Source organism: Homo sapiens, chromosome 8, assembly GCF_000001405.40.
Source record: "Homo sapiens chromosome 8, GRCh38.p14 Primary Assembly".
NCBI classification, from domain to species: Eukaryota; Metazoa; Chordata; class Mammalia; order Primates; family Hominidae; genus Homo; species Homo sapiens.
The window spans coordinates 22483370-22501867 of NC_000008.11; the positions used below are offsets into that span (position 1 = coordinate 22483370).

General features: G+C 38.6%; 1 protein-coding gene, 1 long non-coding RNA gene and 1 pseudogene across 7 annotated transcripts in view; 2 read left to right on the plus strand and 1 right to left on the minus strand.

Moving 5' to 3' along the window:
- The window catches only part of PPP3CC (protein phosphatase 3 catalytic subunit gamma), a 100048-nt gene that overhangs the window by 42292 nt on the left and 39258 nt on the right, over positions 1–18498 (plus strand). For all 6 annotated transcript variants that reach the window (XR_007060744.1, NM_001243974.2, XM_047421941.1 and 3 more), the window contains exon 4: positions 14632–14743. Coding sequence is in view for 5 of the 6 variants with exons in the window: in NM_001243974.2 (NP_001230903.1) it covers positions 14632–14743 (112 nt within the window). In the remaining variant the exon portion in view is untranslated. The remainder of the gene's footprint in view (positions 1–14631; positions 14744–18498) is intronic.
- LOC124901905 (uncharacterized) overlaps positions 1–18498 on the minus strand; it is a 72590-nt gene that overhangs the window by 1834 nt on the left and 52258 nt on the right. The gene's annotated exons all lie outside the window — the stretch shown is intronic.
- On the plus strand, positions 9131–10006 carry BTF3P3 (BTF3 pseudogene 3; annotated as a pseudogene).

An 18498-nucleotide genomic window follows, 5' to 3' on the forward strand; every position in this document is an offset into this window, starting at 1 on the left:
TCCGCCTCCAGGGTTCACGCCATTCTCCTGCCTCAGCCTCCTGAGTAGCTGGGACTACAGGCATGTGCCGCTACGCCCGGCTAATTTTTTGTATTTTTAGTAGAGACTGTGTTTCACAGTGTTAGCCAGGATGGTCACGATCTCCTGACCTTGTGATCTGCCTGCCTGGGCCTCCCAAAGTGCTGGGATTATAGGTGTGAGCCACTGCGCCCAGTCCCATATGTCATTTTATTTTAATTATAGCCAGCTTGATCACATACAAAATTCCATTTATAAATTCCGTTTTCACAAACCCTATTACAATTTCACTCAGACCATTAATGACATGCTTGGACTTTCTGCTTTGTCCTGTATTTCCTTTCTTAAATAACCATTTTATTTTAGGATGAAAATTTGCCACATAAGATTCTTTGTCATACAAAATTATTCTATTTCTCAATAAAGGACACATTTTAATGCCTATCTTGTAATTAAAAAAAATTTTTTTAAGAGACAGAGTCTTGCTCTGTCACCCAGACTGGAGTGCAGTGGTGCAATCATAGCTCACTATAACCCTGAACTCCTGGGCTCAAGCAGTCCTCCTGCCTCAGCCACCCCAATTAGCTAGGACTACAGGTGTGTGCTACCACACTTGGCTAATTTTTTTTTTTTTAATTTTTTTAGAGTTGGGTCTCACTGTGTTGTTCAGGCTGGCCTTGAACTTCTGGCCTCAGGATACCCTCCAACCTCAGCCTCCCAAAGTGCTAGGATTACAGGCATGTGCTACCACAGCCAGCTTGTATCAACAATTTTAAAAACAATTAATTTATCAAAGATTTACTTAAGTCACAAGAACTGAAAAAACATTTGGGTTAATTACTACATATTTTATATGAGCACTTGTTTACTTAAACTAATCAGAATAAATTTTTTTAGGGATTTCTGGCTGACTATATGAGATTTTATTATGTAGACACAGCATACAACATAGTATATATATATAATATAAGCATATCTACACAGATATACATACTTATAAATAAATTCTTATGGCTTTTGTTTTAGAGTTTTGGTCATGAAATAGTAAAACACTCACCAATTTATAAAAAACAGTAGGATCCAGATTATCTTTCTGACAAAATGGAATAAGGCCAAACTTAATGTTCTTTTTTAAAACAGGCAATATTATAAGGGTTGTGAACTAAATTTTGAGTAAAGTAGTTTGAGTCAGTTACCAATAAACTGGATTCGACACAGAATAGTTAATTGTGGAAATATGACTGAATTATCTTCTAACAAGGTCTGTTCAGTATTTTATTGGTCTCAATTCTTTATCCTTGAAGATAAAAGTGTTGCCATTCCTTTTACTGTGGGCAGGCTATCTTTACATGGGAATTTCATTTTTGCAAAGGAAAGAGCATGAAGGTCAAAATGATTTTCTTTAATATCTGCTGGTTTTAAGTGTTTTACTTAAATGGTCAGTATGCCAGAATAGTTGAAGAGTTTTGAAGAAAGAGTTTAGAAAAAGATAAGAGGAGGCAGAGCGGGAGGGGAAAGCTCTAGAGAGGAAAGTGATTCAGCTAGCTTTGAGGCAGTGTTTTGTAGTGAGTCATTCTTTGAGTCCTGAATCCTTTTTTTTAGCCTCAAAATATCAATGAGATACGCATATCTTATTTGGAGTATATTATTTTCTAACTGTGGTCTTTTAGTTTAAGGAACAACAGACTGTTTGAATGATCCTTACGATGTTTGAACATGTTACCGGCTGGAATCCCAGAAAATATCTTGGCATGCCTTTGAATTTTGAGAGCCCATTTTATTGTGGGTGCTCTGGTTTAATCCCAAATACACAAAAACCAATTAAATATAAGCACTGAATTTGCAAAGGCCAAATAAACGCAAGCACAGATGGGAAAATAAAGTACCCACTTACCAAGAAGGACGATAAGAAGCCTTCTCCAACTGAAAGAAAAAAGAGAGATCCCAAGGCCTCAACCCAAAGGGAAAAATCCCTTCCCTGAGACCCCACAGCCAGGGTCTACAAGGAGGAAAAGAGTCTTCCTTAATAGGAGATCCCTCAGCCAGATCAGACGGGAAGGGGAAAGACACCATCCCATCCAAATCCCAGATAAAACAGAACTCAACCAAAATCGGGAGTTCAGTCCAAGAATGACTCACTAAGGGAAAAAGAGGCAACTTGCAGAAGCCGTTAGAGGAGGGGGTGACTTTCAGAGGTCCCCAGTGTGGCTACCTTGTACTATAGTTCCAATGGCTGCTGATCTTCTCTGAGATGAGTCAGCCTTAGACTCATACTTGACCAAGTATGTCAAAGTCAAATGAAACACAGAGATGAATCTCTGAAATTAAGATGTTTTATTTGTGAAGAAAGAATTGCAATTTAGAGCATGCATGCAGACAGAATGGTATGTCCGAAGAACAAAGAGAAGGTTAGAGGTTTTATGAAAAAGCGAAATGTTATGTGTTGCTCTTTGAGAAAGTTCATTGGCACTAGTAAGGTTCTGGAGAGCTTGCCAGTTTTGATTGGTGAGTGATGGCAGTGGGTAAAATTAGCCTTAGAATTTCAGCAGATCATTTCAGTAGCCATTAGATAAAACTGGTTTCCAGTAATAGCAGGCAGTTTCGGCAGACATGCTTGCAGAGAATTACATTTTTGGGTCAATGTTATATGTCCTGAGTGCTTCCCCCCCGCCCTCTTGACTCTGTTTTAGTTGGGTATGACAGGAATAACCCAGTTCATATGATCAACTTTCACAGTAGTTAATGATATAAATACCTTAATTTATTTCACCATTCCTCTACTGTTGGAAAAATAGGTTTATAGCAGGTCATGCTATTGCATACATTTTCCCTCTGTCTTCCTTACAAACAATATCTCTATTTTATTCAGATAGATGGGATTGGGGTTGCAGGGAGAAGCTTTGATCTCAGGGAAGGAAGGCCCTTATCCCAGCCCCAGGGAATGAATTCTGGGTGGTCTGAACTACTCAAGCCAATCAATTTCCTGTCACTAATGATTGGTCTAGGGGTAAACACTGGATTTTCTTTTAACCAGTAATATATAAAGGGAACTCTGCTGGGTTTTTGTTTGTTTGTTTGCTTTTGGAAACACTCTTTCTTGATGAAAAGACTATTGCAAGGTTGAAGCTTTTGGACCCCCATTCTACCATTTCACTTCATATGTGGATGTGTGTACTGTAGCAGCCATGCTGTGACTATGAGGAGGTGACATGACTAAGGAGGAAAAGCAGACCTGTGAATCGCTGATCACAGAGGTACAGAGGGCTTGGTTTCTTGGTGAAGATGTTGAACTAGTACACCAAACCTGGACATCTCATCTCCAGACTTGATGTGTTTTTTGTTTTGTTTTTTTTTTTTTTTGGGACGGAGTCTCACTCTGTTGCCCAGGCTGGAGTACAGTGGCACCATCTCGGCTCACTGCAGCCTCTGCCTCCCAGGTTTAAGTGATCCTCCTGCCTCACCCTCCCGAGTAGCTGGGATTACAGGCACCCACCACCACGCCTGGCTAATTTTTGTATTTTTAGTAGAGATGGGGTTTCACCATGTTGGCCAGGCTAGTCTCAAACTCCTGACCTCAGGAGATCTGCCTGCCTCAGCCACCCAAAGTGCTGGGATTACAGGCATGAGCCACCGCGCCCAGCCCAGACTTTGTGTTTTATGAGGTATTTAAATATCTTACACAACAGCAAATTGGATTTGATATCACTTGTATTTAAATGGTACAAAGTTGTCTTCCAATTATTTCCACTCTGCACATTGCTAAAGTTAACATCTTTTTGAATATATCTGTGATGGCATTTCAGATACTTAGATCAGATTCTCACACATGAAGTAACTGATCAAAGAGTAGAACATTTTTAAGACTTCTGCCGCTGATAAAACAAAATAGTAAAGTTTTATTTATCTTTGAGACTTTTGGTGTTCCCTCTTCATTTGTACCTATTACAAAATGCTGGCTGGGCGCCCTGGCTCACACCGGTAATCCTAGCACTTTGGGAGGCCAAGGAGGGTGGGTCACCTGAGGTCAGGAGTTCGAGACCAGCCTGGATGACATGGTAAAACCCTGTCTCTACTAAAAATACAACAAATTAACCAGGCGTGGTGGCGTGTGCTTGTAGTCCCAGCCACTCAGGAGGCTGAGGCAGGAGAATTGTGTGAACCCTGGTGGCAGAGGTTGCAGTGAGCCTAGATTATGCCACTGCATTCTGGCCTAGGTGACTGAGTGAGACTCTGTCTAAAGAGAAAAAAAAAATAAAAACAAAGTGCTTCCTCTTCCTCTGTGAGAGAAGAAGCTAAATTTTAGTTTCTTTAATTGATTTTGTGAGAAAAGAAAAGATTAAAGGGAACATTTTCAGCAAAGATATACTGTATTAAAAGCACAGAAGCTGCCAAAGAGAAAAATGTTATCAGATGAGCAGGTGATATAAATGTTATTAGATGACCAATTGATGAACAGGTATTGACACATAGAAATGATTCTGGAGGCAGAGTAAAAATTCTGTTCACACAGAAGTAAAAAGTAATTGAGTGGTTGAACAGATCTCTTGATAATCATGACCTTGTAATTGAATTATACAAGACAATTGTACAGTTGCATCCTGATGTATAAAATAAGGAAATAAAACTTGAAATTAGAGGCCAAGAAGCACATCACCAAATGACATTATACTATGGGTGGATTGTGCCTTTATATATCTCGTTACCTCAAAAAGGTGAGTTAGAAGGCACAAATGTATACCCAGATAAATCAAAAGATATATTGTGTTCTTGGTTGGGAAAGGTAGGTATAGAAAAGAGAAGTGCATTCTAAATTTGTATATTGATTTAATATAATTTTTCCTTGGAATATTTTGTGAAAATTGTTATCTTGGTAATGAAATTTAACCCCTCAAAAGAATAAAGCCACACAAGGTTATTTATATGTGTCTACATGTTTAAGCTTTATGATTATTTTGCAATGCCTGTTTCAAAATGTGTATATGCTTTAATGCAACAATTCCATTTTTCAGAACCTATGCTTTAGATGCACTCATAATTACGTACAATGATGTTTGAATTGTTTGTCACAATGATTGAAAGTTTCTTTTGGCATTTGATAAACAGGCTTCAGGGATACAAAATACCCTGCAATGTGTAGGAGACACCTAAACAACAAAGAATGAATGATTCTCAGATTGTCAACAGTGCCTGTGTTAGATTCTGGGGATCTAACAGGGAGATGCACAAGCAAAGTCCTTTACTGTATTTTCTAGTGAGAGGGACAGCATCATGTATTTGTTTACCATCCATGAGAACCAAATCAGAGGAAGGAGCTAAAGCGGGACAGGAGCAGCTAACTTAGATGGAGTGATCAGGGCAGGTTCTTTTGAAGAGGCAATTGTTGAACAGAATGACCTGTGGGAACAAGCTGTGCATAGATCAGGGGAACTACATTCCAGGCAGAGGCACAACCAGTGTAAAAGCTTACAGGCAGAAGCAAGTCTAGGGCAGTCCATGTATAGTAGTGAGGCTATCGAGGCTAGACAGAATAATGAGTAAGGGAGAGATGGAAGAGGTGCAGAGAGTGGGGCAGATAGATGATGTCAGGCCTAGTAAACCATGTCAGTGCATTTGGGTTTTATTCTGAATGTGCTAGGAAGTTATTGGAGGAATTTTTTTTTTTTGAGCAGGGGAGTGACGTATTCACATTTATGTTTTAAAACAATTACTTTGGCTGTTAGAAGGTCAGTTGACTTTTGGAGCCCAAAAGCAGGTGCAGGGAGACCAGTGAGGATTTAATCTAGTAATATAGGTAAGAGATGTCAGTAATTAGATTAGGCATACTGAGAAACATTTGGATTCAGGATTTCAAAGTCTTTCCTTTTTGAGGAGGTGGGAAAGTCTCAGTTGAATTGATCGAGCTCCTCAGGTCATGGCACATTTCTCATCAGTCTTTGCAAAGTCCCTCTTTTTTGTTTTATTCTTTTTGTGCTTATCTGTGATCTCTGAGTTCCTTACTCCCTCTCCCCAGTATACACATGCTTCTACTGTATTTAATATATGATTCAGAATACATCTAATGTATATATGAATGAATGATTCTCAGATTGTCAACAGTGCCTGTGTTAGATTCTAGGGATCTAACATGGAGATGCACAAGCAAAGTCCTTTACTGTATTTTCTAGTGAGAGGTACAGCATATATATATATAACAAATATATATTATATATAATAGTGTATATAATATATAATATATAATAAGTATATATTACATATAATATACAATAAGTATATATTATATATAAGTATATATTATATATAAGTATATATTATATATTATATATAAGTATATATTATATATTATATATATAATAAGTATATATTATATATAAGTATATATTTTATATTATATATATAGTAAGTATATATTATATACATACATAACAAATAAATATATATATATTCACTAATTTGAGATGGAGTCTTGCTCTGTCTCCCAGGCTGGAGTGCAGTGGCACGATCTCAGCTCACTGCAACCTCTGCCTCCCAGGTTCAAGCAATTCTCCTGCCTCAGCCTCTCCAGTAACTGGGATTAGAGGCGCATGCTACCACGCCCAGCAATTTTTTTTTGTATTTTTAGTAGAGACGAGGTTTCACCATGTTAGCCAGGGTGGTCTGGATCTCCTGACCTCGTGATCTACCCACCTTGGCCTCCCAAAGTGCTGGGATTATAGGCGTGAGCTGCCGTGCTGAGCCAATACATCTAATATATTAATTTTTTAATGTATAGAGCTTTTACAGATAAAATATTTTAATTTTACATAAATGATATGGTGCTGTCCAGTGGTCTTGAAATGTTAACATACACCATTATTACCTGGAAAGCTTGTGCAAACAGAGGTTGCAGGACCCTGACCCTGTTTCTGACTCATCAGGCGTGGGGTGGAACCTGGCAATCTGTATTCTGTCGGGTTCCCAGGTGATGCTGTTTACCACACTTTGAGATGAATGTGACCATACTTTGAGAACCACTGTTGTAGTGCTATTTATACTGTTGACTTTTTTCACTTACCACTTTTTTTATATTTATATATATTTTATTATACTTTAAGTTCTAGTGTACATGTGCACAACGTGCAGGTTTGTTACATATGTATACATGTGCCATGTTGGTGTGCTGCACCCATTAACTCGTCATTTACATTAGGTATATCTCCTAATGCTATGCCTCCCCCCTCCCCCCACCCCACAACAGGCCCCAGAGTGTGATGTTCCCCTTCCTGTGTCCAAGTGTTCTCATTGTTCAATTCCCACCTATGAGTGAGAACATGCGGTGGTTGGTTTTTTTGTCCTTGCGATAGTTTGCTGAGAATGATGGTTTCCAGCTTCATCCATGTCCCTACAAAGGACATGAACTCATTATTTTTTATGGCTATGTAGTATTCCATGGTGTATATGTGCCACATTTTCTTAATCCAGTCTATCATTGATGGACATTTGGATTGGTTCCAAGTCTTTGCTATTGCGAATAGTGCCGCAATAAACATATGTGTGCATGTGTCTTTATAGCAGCATGACTTATAATCCTTTGGGTATATATCCAGTAATGGGATAAGATATATCCAGGTTACTACTATACGTGCCTCTAGTTGATTGCTTTCTGCCTGCTGTATAGAATTTCACAGTATTTATGTATGACACTTTAGTTTTCTCTTTTGCTTGGTGGACACCTAGTTTACCTCCAGTTTCTTTCTAACATGAACACTGCTATGATGAACACCCTCATATAAATCTACCATGATTTAATGTCTCTAGGTTTTATGAACAAAATCGGATTGCCAGGAGAAAGGGTGTATGCATTCATACTTGAACTGAGCATTGGTTGCCAGATGGCTCTTCAGAATGGCTGTGCAAGTCTCTATTCCTACCAGCAGCACTGAAGAATTCCTATTTCCTCACATCCCTCCTTCCAGAATATGATTTTATCTCATATTATAATACTTGCCAATATAATGGGTATAAAGTAGTATTCTACTGTTTTAATTAATGTTTCTCTAATTACTGATGAAATTAAGCATCTCATATGCCAGCCATTCAGCTCTTGCACTCACTCTTAGGAGTTTCTTATGTGACCTTTCAGAGATAGGTTAAACATATACAAGCATATTTGCAAATCTAATGAGAAAATAGTGTACTTGTCACTATACATTGCCCTTTAAGTGCTGCTTTATCTGAGTCCCACAGATTTGGACATGTATTGCTTTCATTATCATTCAGTATTTTATATTTTAAGAATTCTCTTTAACCCTAAAATAATGAAGTAGTATGTTTTTTCTTTCCAGTCATATGGGATTTTTTTAGAGCTAGTATTTTGTTACTGATTATTGATTTGATGTAATTTGATTAAAGAAAATGATTGGAATAATACTCATTCTTTGAAATTTATTGAGACTCCTTGTGGTATAGTACAGAGTAGATTTTTGTGATTTTCCCATATATTCTTGGAAAGAACGTATATTCTCTACTTGTTGAGCTATTCTTTATAACTTTGACTATTTTTGTCTGCTTGAACTATCAGTTACTTTCAGCATTGTGTCAAAATTTCCAACTACCATTACAGTGTCATGCATCGTTTAATAAGGAGGGTACGTTCTGAGAAATGGGTGCCGATTTTGCTGTTGTGAAATCATCATAGAGTGTACTTACATAAACCTAGGTGGTATAGCCTGCTACACACCTAGGCTATATGGTATAGCCTGTTGCTCCCAGGCTACAAACCTGTACAGCATGTTATTGTGCTGAATACTGTAGGCAGTTGTAACACAAGGGTAAGTATTGTGTGTCTAAACATATCTAGATGTAGAAAAGATACAGTAAAAAAAAAAAGAGAAAAAATGGAATACCTGTATAAAGTACTTATCATGAATGGATTGTACAGGACTGGAAGTTGCTCTGGGTGAATCAGTGAATGATGAGTGAATGTGAAGGCCTAAGACATTGCTGTATACTACCAGATGCTTTATAAACACTGTACACTTGTGCTATACTAAATTTATTAAAAAGTATTTTTCCTTCTTCAATAATAAATTAGCCTTAGCTTATTGTAACTTTTTACTTTATAAGATTTTTAATTTTGAGCTGCCATCTTGCGTCCCCATGTGTGTGCACCTAATCTCAGCTGGTGGTCCACCCGAGACCCCCAAGCACCAACCCTAGCCCCCCACGTTGGCCCCTTATCTGCTCTGAGAAGATGAAACAAACAGTTATGAGCCAGGAAAGACTTGCCAAACTGCAGGCACAAGTGCGCATTGGTGGGAAAGAAATGGTTCACAGAAAGAAGAAGGCGGTTCATAGAACAGCCACAGCAGATGATAAAAAACTTCAGTTCTCCTTAAAGAAGTTAGAGGTAAACAATGTCTCTGGTATTGAAGAGGTGAATATGTTTACAAACCAAGGAACAGTGATCCACTTTAACAGCAGAGATGCCAGCAAACTCTTTCACCATTACAGGCCATGCTGAGACAAAGCAGCTGATGGAAATGCTACCCAGCATCTTAAACCAGCTTGGTGCACACTGTCTGACTAGTTTAAGGAGACTGGCTGAAGCTCTGCCCAAACAGTCTGTGAATGGAAAAGCACCACTTGCTACTGGAGAGGATGACGATGAAGTTCCAGCTCTTGTGGAGAATTTTGATGAGGCTTCCAAGATGGAGAATTTTGATGAGGCTTCCAAGAATGAGGCAAACTGAATTGAGTCAACTTCTGAAGATAAAACTTGAAGAAGTTATTGGGAGCTGCTATTTTATATTATGACTGCTTTTTAAGAAATTTTTGTTTATGGATCTGATAAAATCTAGATCTCTAATATTTTTAAGCCCAAGCTCCTTGGACACTGCAGCTCTTTTCAGTTTTTGCTTATATACAATTCATTCTTTGCAGCTAATTAAGCTGAAGAATCCTGGGAATCAAGTTTGAAACAAAGGTTAATAAAGTTCTTTGCCTAGTATACCAAAAAAAAAAAAAGATTTTTAATTTTTTTAACTTTTTGACTCTTTTGTAATACCACTTAGCTTACAAGTGGTATTATGAGTGAATGTGAAGGCCTAAGACTTATGCAGCTGTACAAAAATATTTTTTCCTTATATTCTTATTCTATAAGCTTTATTAAAACCTTTTTTTACTTTTAAAATTTTTTGGTAAGAATGAAGACACACACACACACATGCACGTGCGCACGCATCTAGGCCTACAGAGGGTCAGGATCATCAATATCACTGCCTTTCACCTCCACATCTTGTCCCACTGGAAGGCCTTCAGGGGCAGTAACAGTCATGGAGCTGTCATGTCGTATAACAGTGCCTTCTGCTAGAATCCCTCCTGAAGGACCTGCCTGGGGATGTTTTACAATGAGCCTTTTTCTTTTGTAAATAGAAGGAACAAACTTGAAAGTAATTATTAAAAGTATGGTATAGTAAATACATAAACCAGTACCATTTATTATTATCAGGTATTATGTACTGTACATAATTGTATGTGCTATACTTTTATATGACTGGCAGTGCAGTAGGTTTTTTTACATCAGCATCACCACAAACATGTAAGTAATGCCTGCATGTAGACATTATGATGGCTACATCACTAGGGTGTAGGAATTTTTCAGTTCATTTTAATTTTATGGGACCATTGTCCTGTATGTGGTGTGTTGTTGACTATAGCAGCATTATGTGGTGCATGACTATATTGATTTATCTGTTTCTCAACATAGGCCTCTGTATTAGTTCTTTTTCATGCTGCTGATAAAGACATACCCAAAATTGGGAACAAAAAGAGGTTTAATTGGACTTAACAGATCCGCATGGCTGGGGAGGCCTCAGAATCATGGCAGGAGACAAAAGGCAAAAGGTACTTCTTACATGGCGGTGGCAAGAATGAGGAAGAAGCAAAAGTGGAAACCCCTGATAAACCCATCAGATCTCATGAGACTTTTTCACTATTACAAGAATAGCACAGGAAAGACCGGCCCCCATGATTCAGTTACTGTCCCCTGGGTGTGGGAATTCTGGTAGCTACAATTCAAGTTGAGATTTGGCTGGGGACACTGCCAAACCATATCAGCCTCTCAGTTTTTGCTTGTGTTTTGAGGCTGTGAAATATATACAGAATATTTCATAAGTGGTGTATACAATTGATTATCATCATTCATGCGTTCTGTATTTGTGGATATGCCTATGTCTCCTTGCTAAAATTGATTTGTAAACTCAAAATCAATACAGTGCTTTTGTGGTCACTGGTAGACATGTGGAGAGTGATCTACTACTTTGAGTCTCCCAATGCACATGTTGCCACCTCAGACCAAATAAGGCCACACTCTCCCTTCTTGTTTTAGCTCTCATGCTTTAAACAAGTATTCTTTTCATAGTCTATTTAGTGCCTGAATGCCTGCTATAGGTAACCAATCTCTTCAGTTTCTGGTTTATCTTTCCTGCATTTTTTATGTACAAAGTAGATACATACATATGAATTTCATATATCTTCTTTATTATATAGAGGGTGGCATACTACAGCTACTCTTGTACTTTTTATTTTTTTTAAGAGACAAGAGTCTCACTCCGTCACCCAGGTTGGAGTGCAGTGGCACGATCATGATCATAGCTCACTACAGCCTCAAACTCCTCGCCTCAAGGGATCCTCCTGCCTCAGCCTCCTGAATAGCTGGGACTACAGGCACGTGACCACCACATCTGGCTAATTTTTAAATGTTTTGTAGAGATGGGGTCTTGCTGTATTGCCCAGGTTGGTCTTAAACTCCTGGTCTCAAGCGATCCTCCTGCCTTGGCCTCCTAAAGCACTGGGATTGCATTTGTGAGCCATTGTGCCCAGCCATACTTTGCTTTTTTCATCTAAAAATATATCTTGGAAATCACTCTAAATCAGTTTATAGAGATCTTTCTCATCCTTGTGCTTTATTGTGTGAGTGCATCATAGCTTAGCGTCTCTCCTGTGTATGGTCATTTAGGTTGTTCCTAATATTTTACTATTACACACATGCTACAGCCTTGTGCATATTTATTTTCGTATTGTTGGAAGTGTATCTTCAGGGTAGATTCCTAGAAGTGGGTCAAAAGTTAAATGAATGTGTAGTTTTGTCAGTTTGGCCAAATTGTTTTTTTACTATGCAAATTATATTATTATTATTATTATTATTGTTATTATTTTTGGGATGGAGTTTCTCTCCAGGCTGGAGTGCAATGGCGCTATCTCGGCTTACTTCAACCTCTACCTCCCAGGTTCAAGCGATTCTTCTGCCTCAGCCTCCTGAGTAGCTGGGATTACAGGCACCTGCCACCAGGCCTAGCAAATGTTTGTATTTTTAGTAGAGAAGAGGTTTTACCATGTTGGCCAGGCTGGTCTCAAGCTCCTGACTTCAGGTGATCTGCCTGCCTCTGCCTCCCAAAGTGCTGGGATTGCAGGCGTGAGCCACCATGCCTGGCCTATTTTCATTTTTGTGTGGTCAAATTTACCCATCTTTTATTTTATTGCCTCTGGATTTTTAGTCATTAGTTACACAGTTCTTACCTACACCAAATTTTCACCTACACCAGGCTTAAGAAGAACTCACTCATGTTTTCTTCTAGAACTTGTGTGGCTTTTTCTTTTTACATTTAGATTGCTCATCCTTTTGTTGTTTATTGTGCTTTGTGTGAGATGTGGATCTAACTTTATGTTTTTTTTTTAAAATGGCAACCACTTGTCCCAGAGCCATTTATTTAAAAGTTCATCATTATTATTGTGATTTGAGATGCCACCTTTATTATTTACCAAATTTTTGTAGGTACTTTTATACTATATCTGTAGTATAAAATTCCACTGGTATGTTTATCTACATAAGGACCAGTACCACTGTTTTGATTATAGACATTTTATAGTATGTTTTAACATCTGGTAGGGATAGTCTGCCCTCATAGTGTCTCTTTTTAGTGTTTTCCTGGTTATTCTTTCTTGCATGTTCATTTTTCCATGTTAATTTTAGTGTCAACTTGTCTAACTCCATAAAATAGCTTGTTTGTATTTTTCTTGGAATTTCATGACTTATAAGTTAAATTAGGGAGAACTGTAATCTTTTTTTTTTTTTTTTTTTTTTTTTTTTTTGAGACAGAGTCTCGCTCTGTCACCCAGGCTGGAGTGCAGCGGTATGATCTTGGCTCACTGCAACCTCTGCCTCCCAGGTTCCAGTGATTCTTTTGCCTCAGCCTCCCAGGCAGCTGGGATTGCAGGCACTTGCCACTACGCCCAGCTAATTTTTGTATTTTTAGTGAGACGGGGTTTCACCATATTGGCCAGGCTGGTCTCGAACTCCTGACCTTAGGTGATCCACCTGCCTCGGCCTCCCCAAGTGCTAGTATTACAGGTGTAAGCCATTGTGCCCGGCTGAGAACTGTAATCTTTTCATGTTGATTTATTCTATCTAAGAACAAGGGATGTCTTTCCATTATTTCATGTCTACTTTTATGTCTTATAGGGACATTTAAATTTTTTCCTTGTATGGATTTTGCACATTTCTTGTTAAATTTATTCCTGTGTCTTTAGGCCTCTTTGTTGCTGTTACAAATGGGGATTTCTCCACCGTGATGTTCTGTTGATTTTTTCTGTATAAAAGGTCTATTTTTGTTTGTTTGTTTTGAGACAGAGTTTCGCTCTTGTTGCCCAGACTGGAGTGCAGTGGCATGATCTTGGCTTATGGCAACCTCCGCTTCCCGGGTTCAAGCGATTCTCATGCCTCAGCCTCCCGAGTAGCTGGGGTTACAGGCATGTGCCACCACACCCAGCTAATTTTGTATTTTTAGTAGACGCGGGGTTTCTCCATTTTGGTCAGGGTAGTCTCGAACTCCCGACCTCCGGTGATCTGCCCGCCTTGGCCTCCCAAAGTGCTGAGATTACAGGTATGAGCCACTGCACCTGGCCCTATTTTTTTTTTTTTTAAAGATGGAGTCTCCCTATGTTGCCCAGGTTAGCCTTGAACTCCTAGGCTCAAGTGAGCCCCCTGCCTTAGCCTCCTGAGTAGCTGGAACCATATGTGTGCCGCTGTGCCCCAGGGCTATTGATTTTGTATGTTAATTTTATATCCTGCTAGTTTACTGAATTATTTTATTATTTGAGTTAGTTTTATCATTGATTTTGGGGGGTTATATCTGCAAATAGAGATAGTTTTATTTTTTCTTTACCCATTCTTAACCCTCTAATTGAGGTGTAATCCCATTGGCTGATACCCTTACACCAGTTTTGAACAGTAGCAGAGATAGTAAATATTCTTGCCTTGTTCCTGGTCTTAGTGAAAATGCCGTTAGTGTTTTGGAATTAAGTAAAATACAGGTTTTACGACTAATATATATGTGTGAGTGGCTGAGAGAGTTCTAGATATTTAGATAGAACATGGGAACAGAGATTAGAGAGAGATTTCTATGAAGGCTTGTCAAATTCTAGGGCAATAAGTATATCACATTCAAAAGGTTTCATTTTTCAATTTGGGAGTAACAATGAGATATGCCATTACAGCAAGTCATTTGAATTATATAAATTGTGTTTATGCATTATAATGGTCACAAAGAAAATTTTATGCTTGAATTTGTCTTGTAGTGTGTGCTGTATTTATGGAGTTTAAAGATTAATCATCCCAAAACATTGTTTCTGCTTCGGGGAAATCATGAATGCAGGCATCTTACAGACTATTTCACCTTCAAACAGGAATGTAAGTATAATCACTCCTCTAGAACCTTTTTAGTTACCCTTTAACCTGTCCGAAGTAAATCAAACAGAAAGAAAAAAGAAACTAATAGAATTTAAATGCTTCCTGTCCTGTTGTTATTTTTTTCACCTGCAAAGAACTAAGATTCTATCTTCTAAAACATTTATTTTGAAAATAACTTTTGGGTTCCCCCTTGTTTATAAAATAAATAATTCGGGATATTTGGAAAGCACAGAGAAGTCTAAAGAAGATAAAAGTGTCCATAATCAGGTTGCAGTGAGCCAAGATCACGCCACTCTACTCCAGCCTGGGCGACAAAGCAAGATTCCATCTCAAAAAATAAAATAAAATAAAAGTGTCCATAATCATGCCACTTAGAGGTAATCACTGTTATCACACTATTTGAAATATGGTCTTCCATTCTTTTTTATTATTATGAAATAGTTCAGGTATACATATATCTGTATATATTTTACAAATAAAATTGGGCTCATATGTACTGTTTAATACATTTCTGTTTCACCTAATGTAGTAGCATTTTTTCCATATCATTAAGTATTTTTGACAACATGGTTTGTAAGTGTTATTTTAGTTTTTTTAAAGTATTCCATCTTACGAACACACAATCATATATGTAGCCAATTTAGTAACAATCATAGGATATTTAGGTTGTTTCTAACTGTGACTACTGCTGTAATAGTAAAAATAAGTTTAATATAAAAGTAGAATTATTGGCCGGGTGCGGTGGCTCACGCCTGCAATCCCAGCACTTTGGGAGGCCAAGGCAGGTGGAACACAAGGTCAGGAGTTCAAGACCAGCCTGGCCAACATGATGAAACCCCTGTCTCTACTCAAAATACAAAAATTAGCCGGGTGTGGTCGTGCGTGCCTGTAATCCCAGCTACTCAGGACGCTGAGGCAGGAGAATGGCTTGAACCCGGGAGATGGAGGTTGTGGTGAGATCCTGCCACTGTACTCCAGCCTGGGCAACAGAGCGAGACTCCGACTCAAAAAAAAAAGAAATAGAATTATTTTGAAAGTCAAAACAGGCCGGGCGCGGTGGCTCACGCCTGTAATCCCAGCACTTTGGGAGGCCGAGGCGGGTGGATCATGAGGTCAGGAGATCGAGACCATCCTGGCTAACAAGGTGAAACCCCGTCTCTACTAAAAATACAAAAAATTAGCCGGGCGCGGTGGCGGGCGCCTGTAGTCCCAGCTACTCGGGAGGCTGAGGCAGGAGAATGGCGTGAACCCGGGAAGCGGAGCTTGCAGTGAGCCGAGATTGCGCCACTGCAGTCCGCAGTCCGGCCTGGGCAACAGAGCAAGACTCCGTCTCAAAAAAAAAAAGAAAAAAAAAAGAAAGTCAAAACATTACTAGCTGATTTTAAAAAACAGATAACATGGTGGGAGGCTGAGGCTAGACGATCCCTTCAGCCCAGGAGTTCTACACCAGCCTTGGCAATACAGCGAGACTCCATCTCAAAAAAACAAACTCGTAGATTTCCTTGACTAGCATCTAGTACTCATAATTGGCTGCTCACTAACAAACAGTATGATGCTGACTATGTTGGGGATGTTTGGGAGATCCTGCCCCAGGGCATTTGCATTTTTAGTTCTTCTTTTCCCAGATCTCTATCTGCGTATAAGACATACATTCTATTTCATTCATGTCATTTATTCCGAGATTTTCTCCTCTAGTTGCTTTTCTAAATCATAATCTCATCATTTTACCCTCATACCCTGTTTCTTTTCATAGTGTTTATCAACACCTGAGATTTATGTGTATTTATTTGTTGACTGTCTTTCTCTGCCACCAGAATGTAAGCTCCATGCTAGCAGGGGTGTGTTTTGTTCACTGTTGTTTTCCCCAACACCCACAACAGTATTAGTTGCTCATAGAAGTTGCTTAGTAAATATTGGTTGAGTTCATTTGAATGAATGAGCATCTGTGATTTGTATGTTTAGAACACACTCTTGAAAAAGAATTTCTGGGTTAGGGGGCAGGCACATTTTAAAGACTTTTGGCATACTCTAAAGTAGTCTTCCAGAAAATATGTATATTGGGTTATACGCCAAAAAAATTTTTTATTTTTGTGATGAAAGTACTGAAATAAAAGCAAAATTTTACCTGTTTTGACTTCTAAAATTTTAGCATATTCTCTATAAAATAAGGAAGCTAAACTAAATATCTTGGGTCCCATCTGGCTCTAAAATCTACCCCTTTTAACGAATCCTGAATATATAAATATACTTTAGTGTTCATATGGTTGATATTTTGATCATGGATTTCATTTTGTATCCAGATTTTTCTGCAGATTATTATCTTAGAAAAATATATTATAAAATATTTAAACTTTTATTCCAAAAATAATTTTCAAAGTTAAAAAAACTTTTACATTTGTTTTCAGAGACTCAAAGTTTATTAATCTGCCACAGATCCCTTTACTGATAGGTAGATTGCTATTTATAGTGTTTCATATGCTCATATGAATTCTTGCTACCAGTATCTTCTTACATTGGAGATAGTAGTTGTAATGAAAACATCCCTCCTAGTAGAGCCTCAAAGAAAAGGTCTTTGTTATTAAAAGAAATTTTAGAGGATAATCACTTCTTAAAAAGTCCCTCTGTCAAAAGTCAGCTGCAAGAGGGCAAGATACAAATCCTTCCAGCCCTTGGTGACTTACTGGAATAAACACTTTAAATCAGCAGCTAATTACCAGGAAGTTTTAAATCTACTGTTGGTGGATGTTTAAATTGGTGTAAGTTGAGCATGGTGGCTCATGCCTGTAATCCCAGTACTTTTGGAGGCTCAGGTGAGTGGATCACTTGAGCCCAAGAGTTCAAGACCAGCCTGGTCAACATGTTGAAATCCCATCTCTACAAAATAAAACACAAAAAATTAGCTGTGCATAGAGGCACTTACCTATAGTCCCAGCTACTCAGGAGGCTGATTGAGGTGGGAGGATCACCTGAGCTCAGGAGTTTGTGGCTATAGTGAGTTGTGATCACCACTACACTCCAGCCTGGGAGACATAGTGAGACCCTGTCTCAACAACAACAACAACAACAACAAAGATGTGAGGTATTTGAAGAGCAATTTTGTAATATATTTATAAATTTTAAGTGCATGTCCCCTTGATCTAGCAATTTCATTTGTAGGAATTTATTATGCAGATTGTGTTACTTTTTAAATGCTGCATAAAAAATTATCACAAATTTAGTGGCTAAAAAGAACACATTTATTATCTCATAGTTATTGTAGGTCAGAAGTCCAGGCCACAGTGTGGCTAGATTCTCTGTATAGGATCTCACTGAAATCAAGGTGTTGCCAGGGTTTCAGTTCTCATCTGGGGCTTAGGGTCTTTATCCAAGGTCACTTGTTGGCAGTCCTTGTAACTGTAGGATTAAGGTCCCTGTTGTCCTGTTAGTTGTTGACCAGGGATGACTCTTAGCTTCCAGATACTGCTTGCAGTTCGGTAACATGTCGCCACCAGTGGTAGTTCCCAATATGAATGTTTGCTTTTTTCCAGGCCGGCCTGAATGCATCTCTCTGACCTTCTCTTCTGTGATCAGCTAGCTGGAAAAAAACCCTCACTCAGTTTTTAAAAGGCTCACCTTAGGTCAGGCATGGTGGCTCATGCCTGTAATTTCAGCACTTTGGGATGCCAAAGGGGAGAGGATCACTTGAGGCCAGGAGTTCAAGACCAGCCTGGGCAACATAGTGAGACCTCCTCTCTGCCAAAAAGAAAATTAAAAAA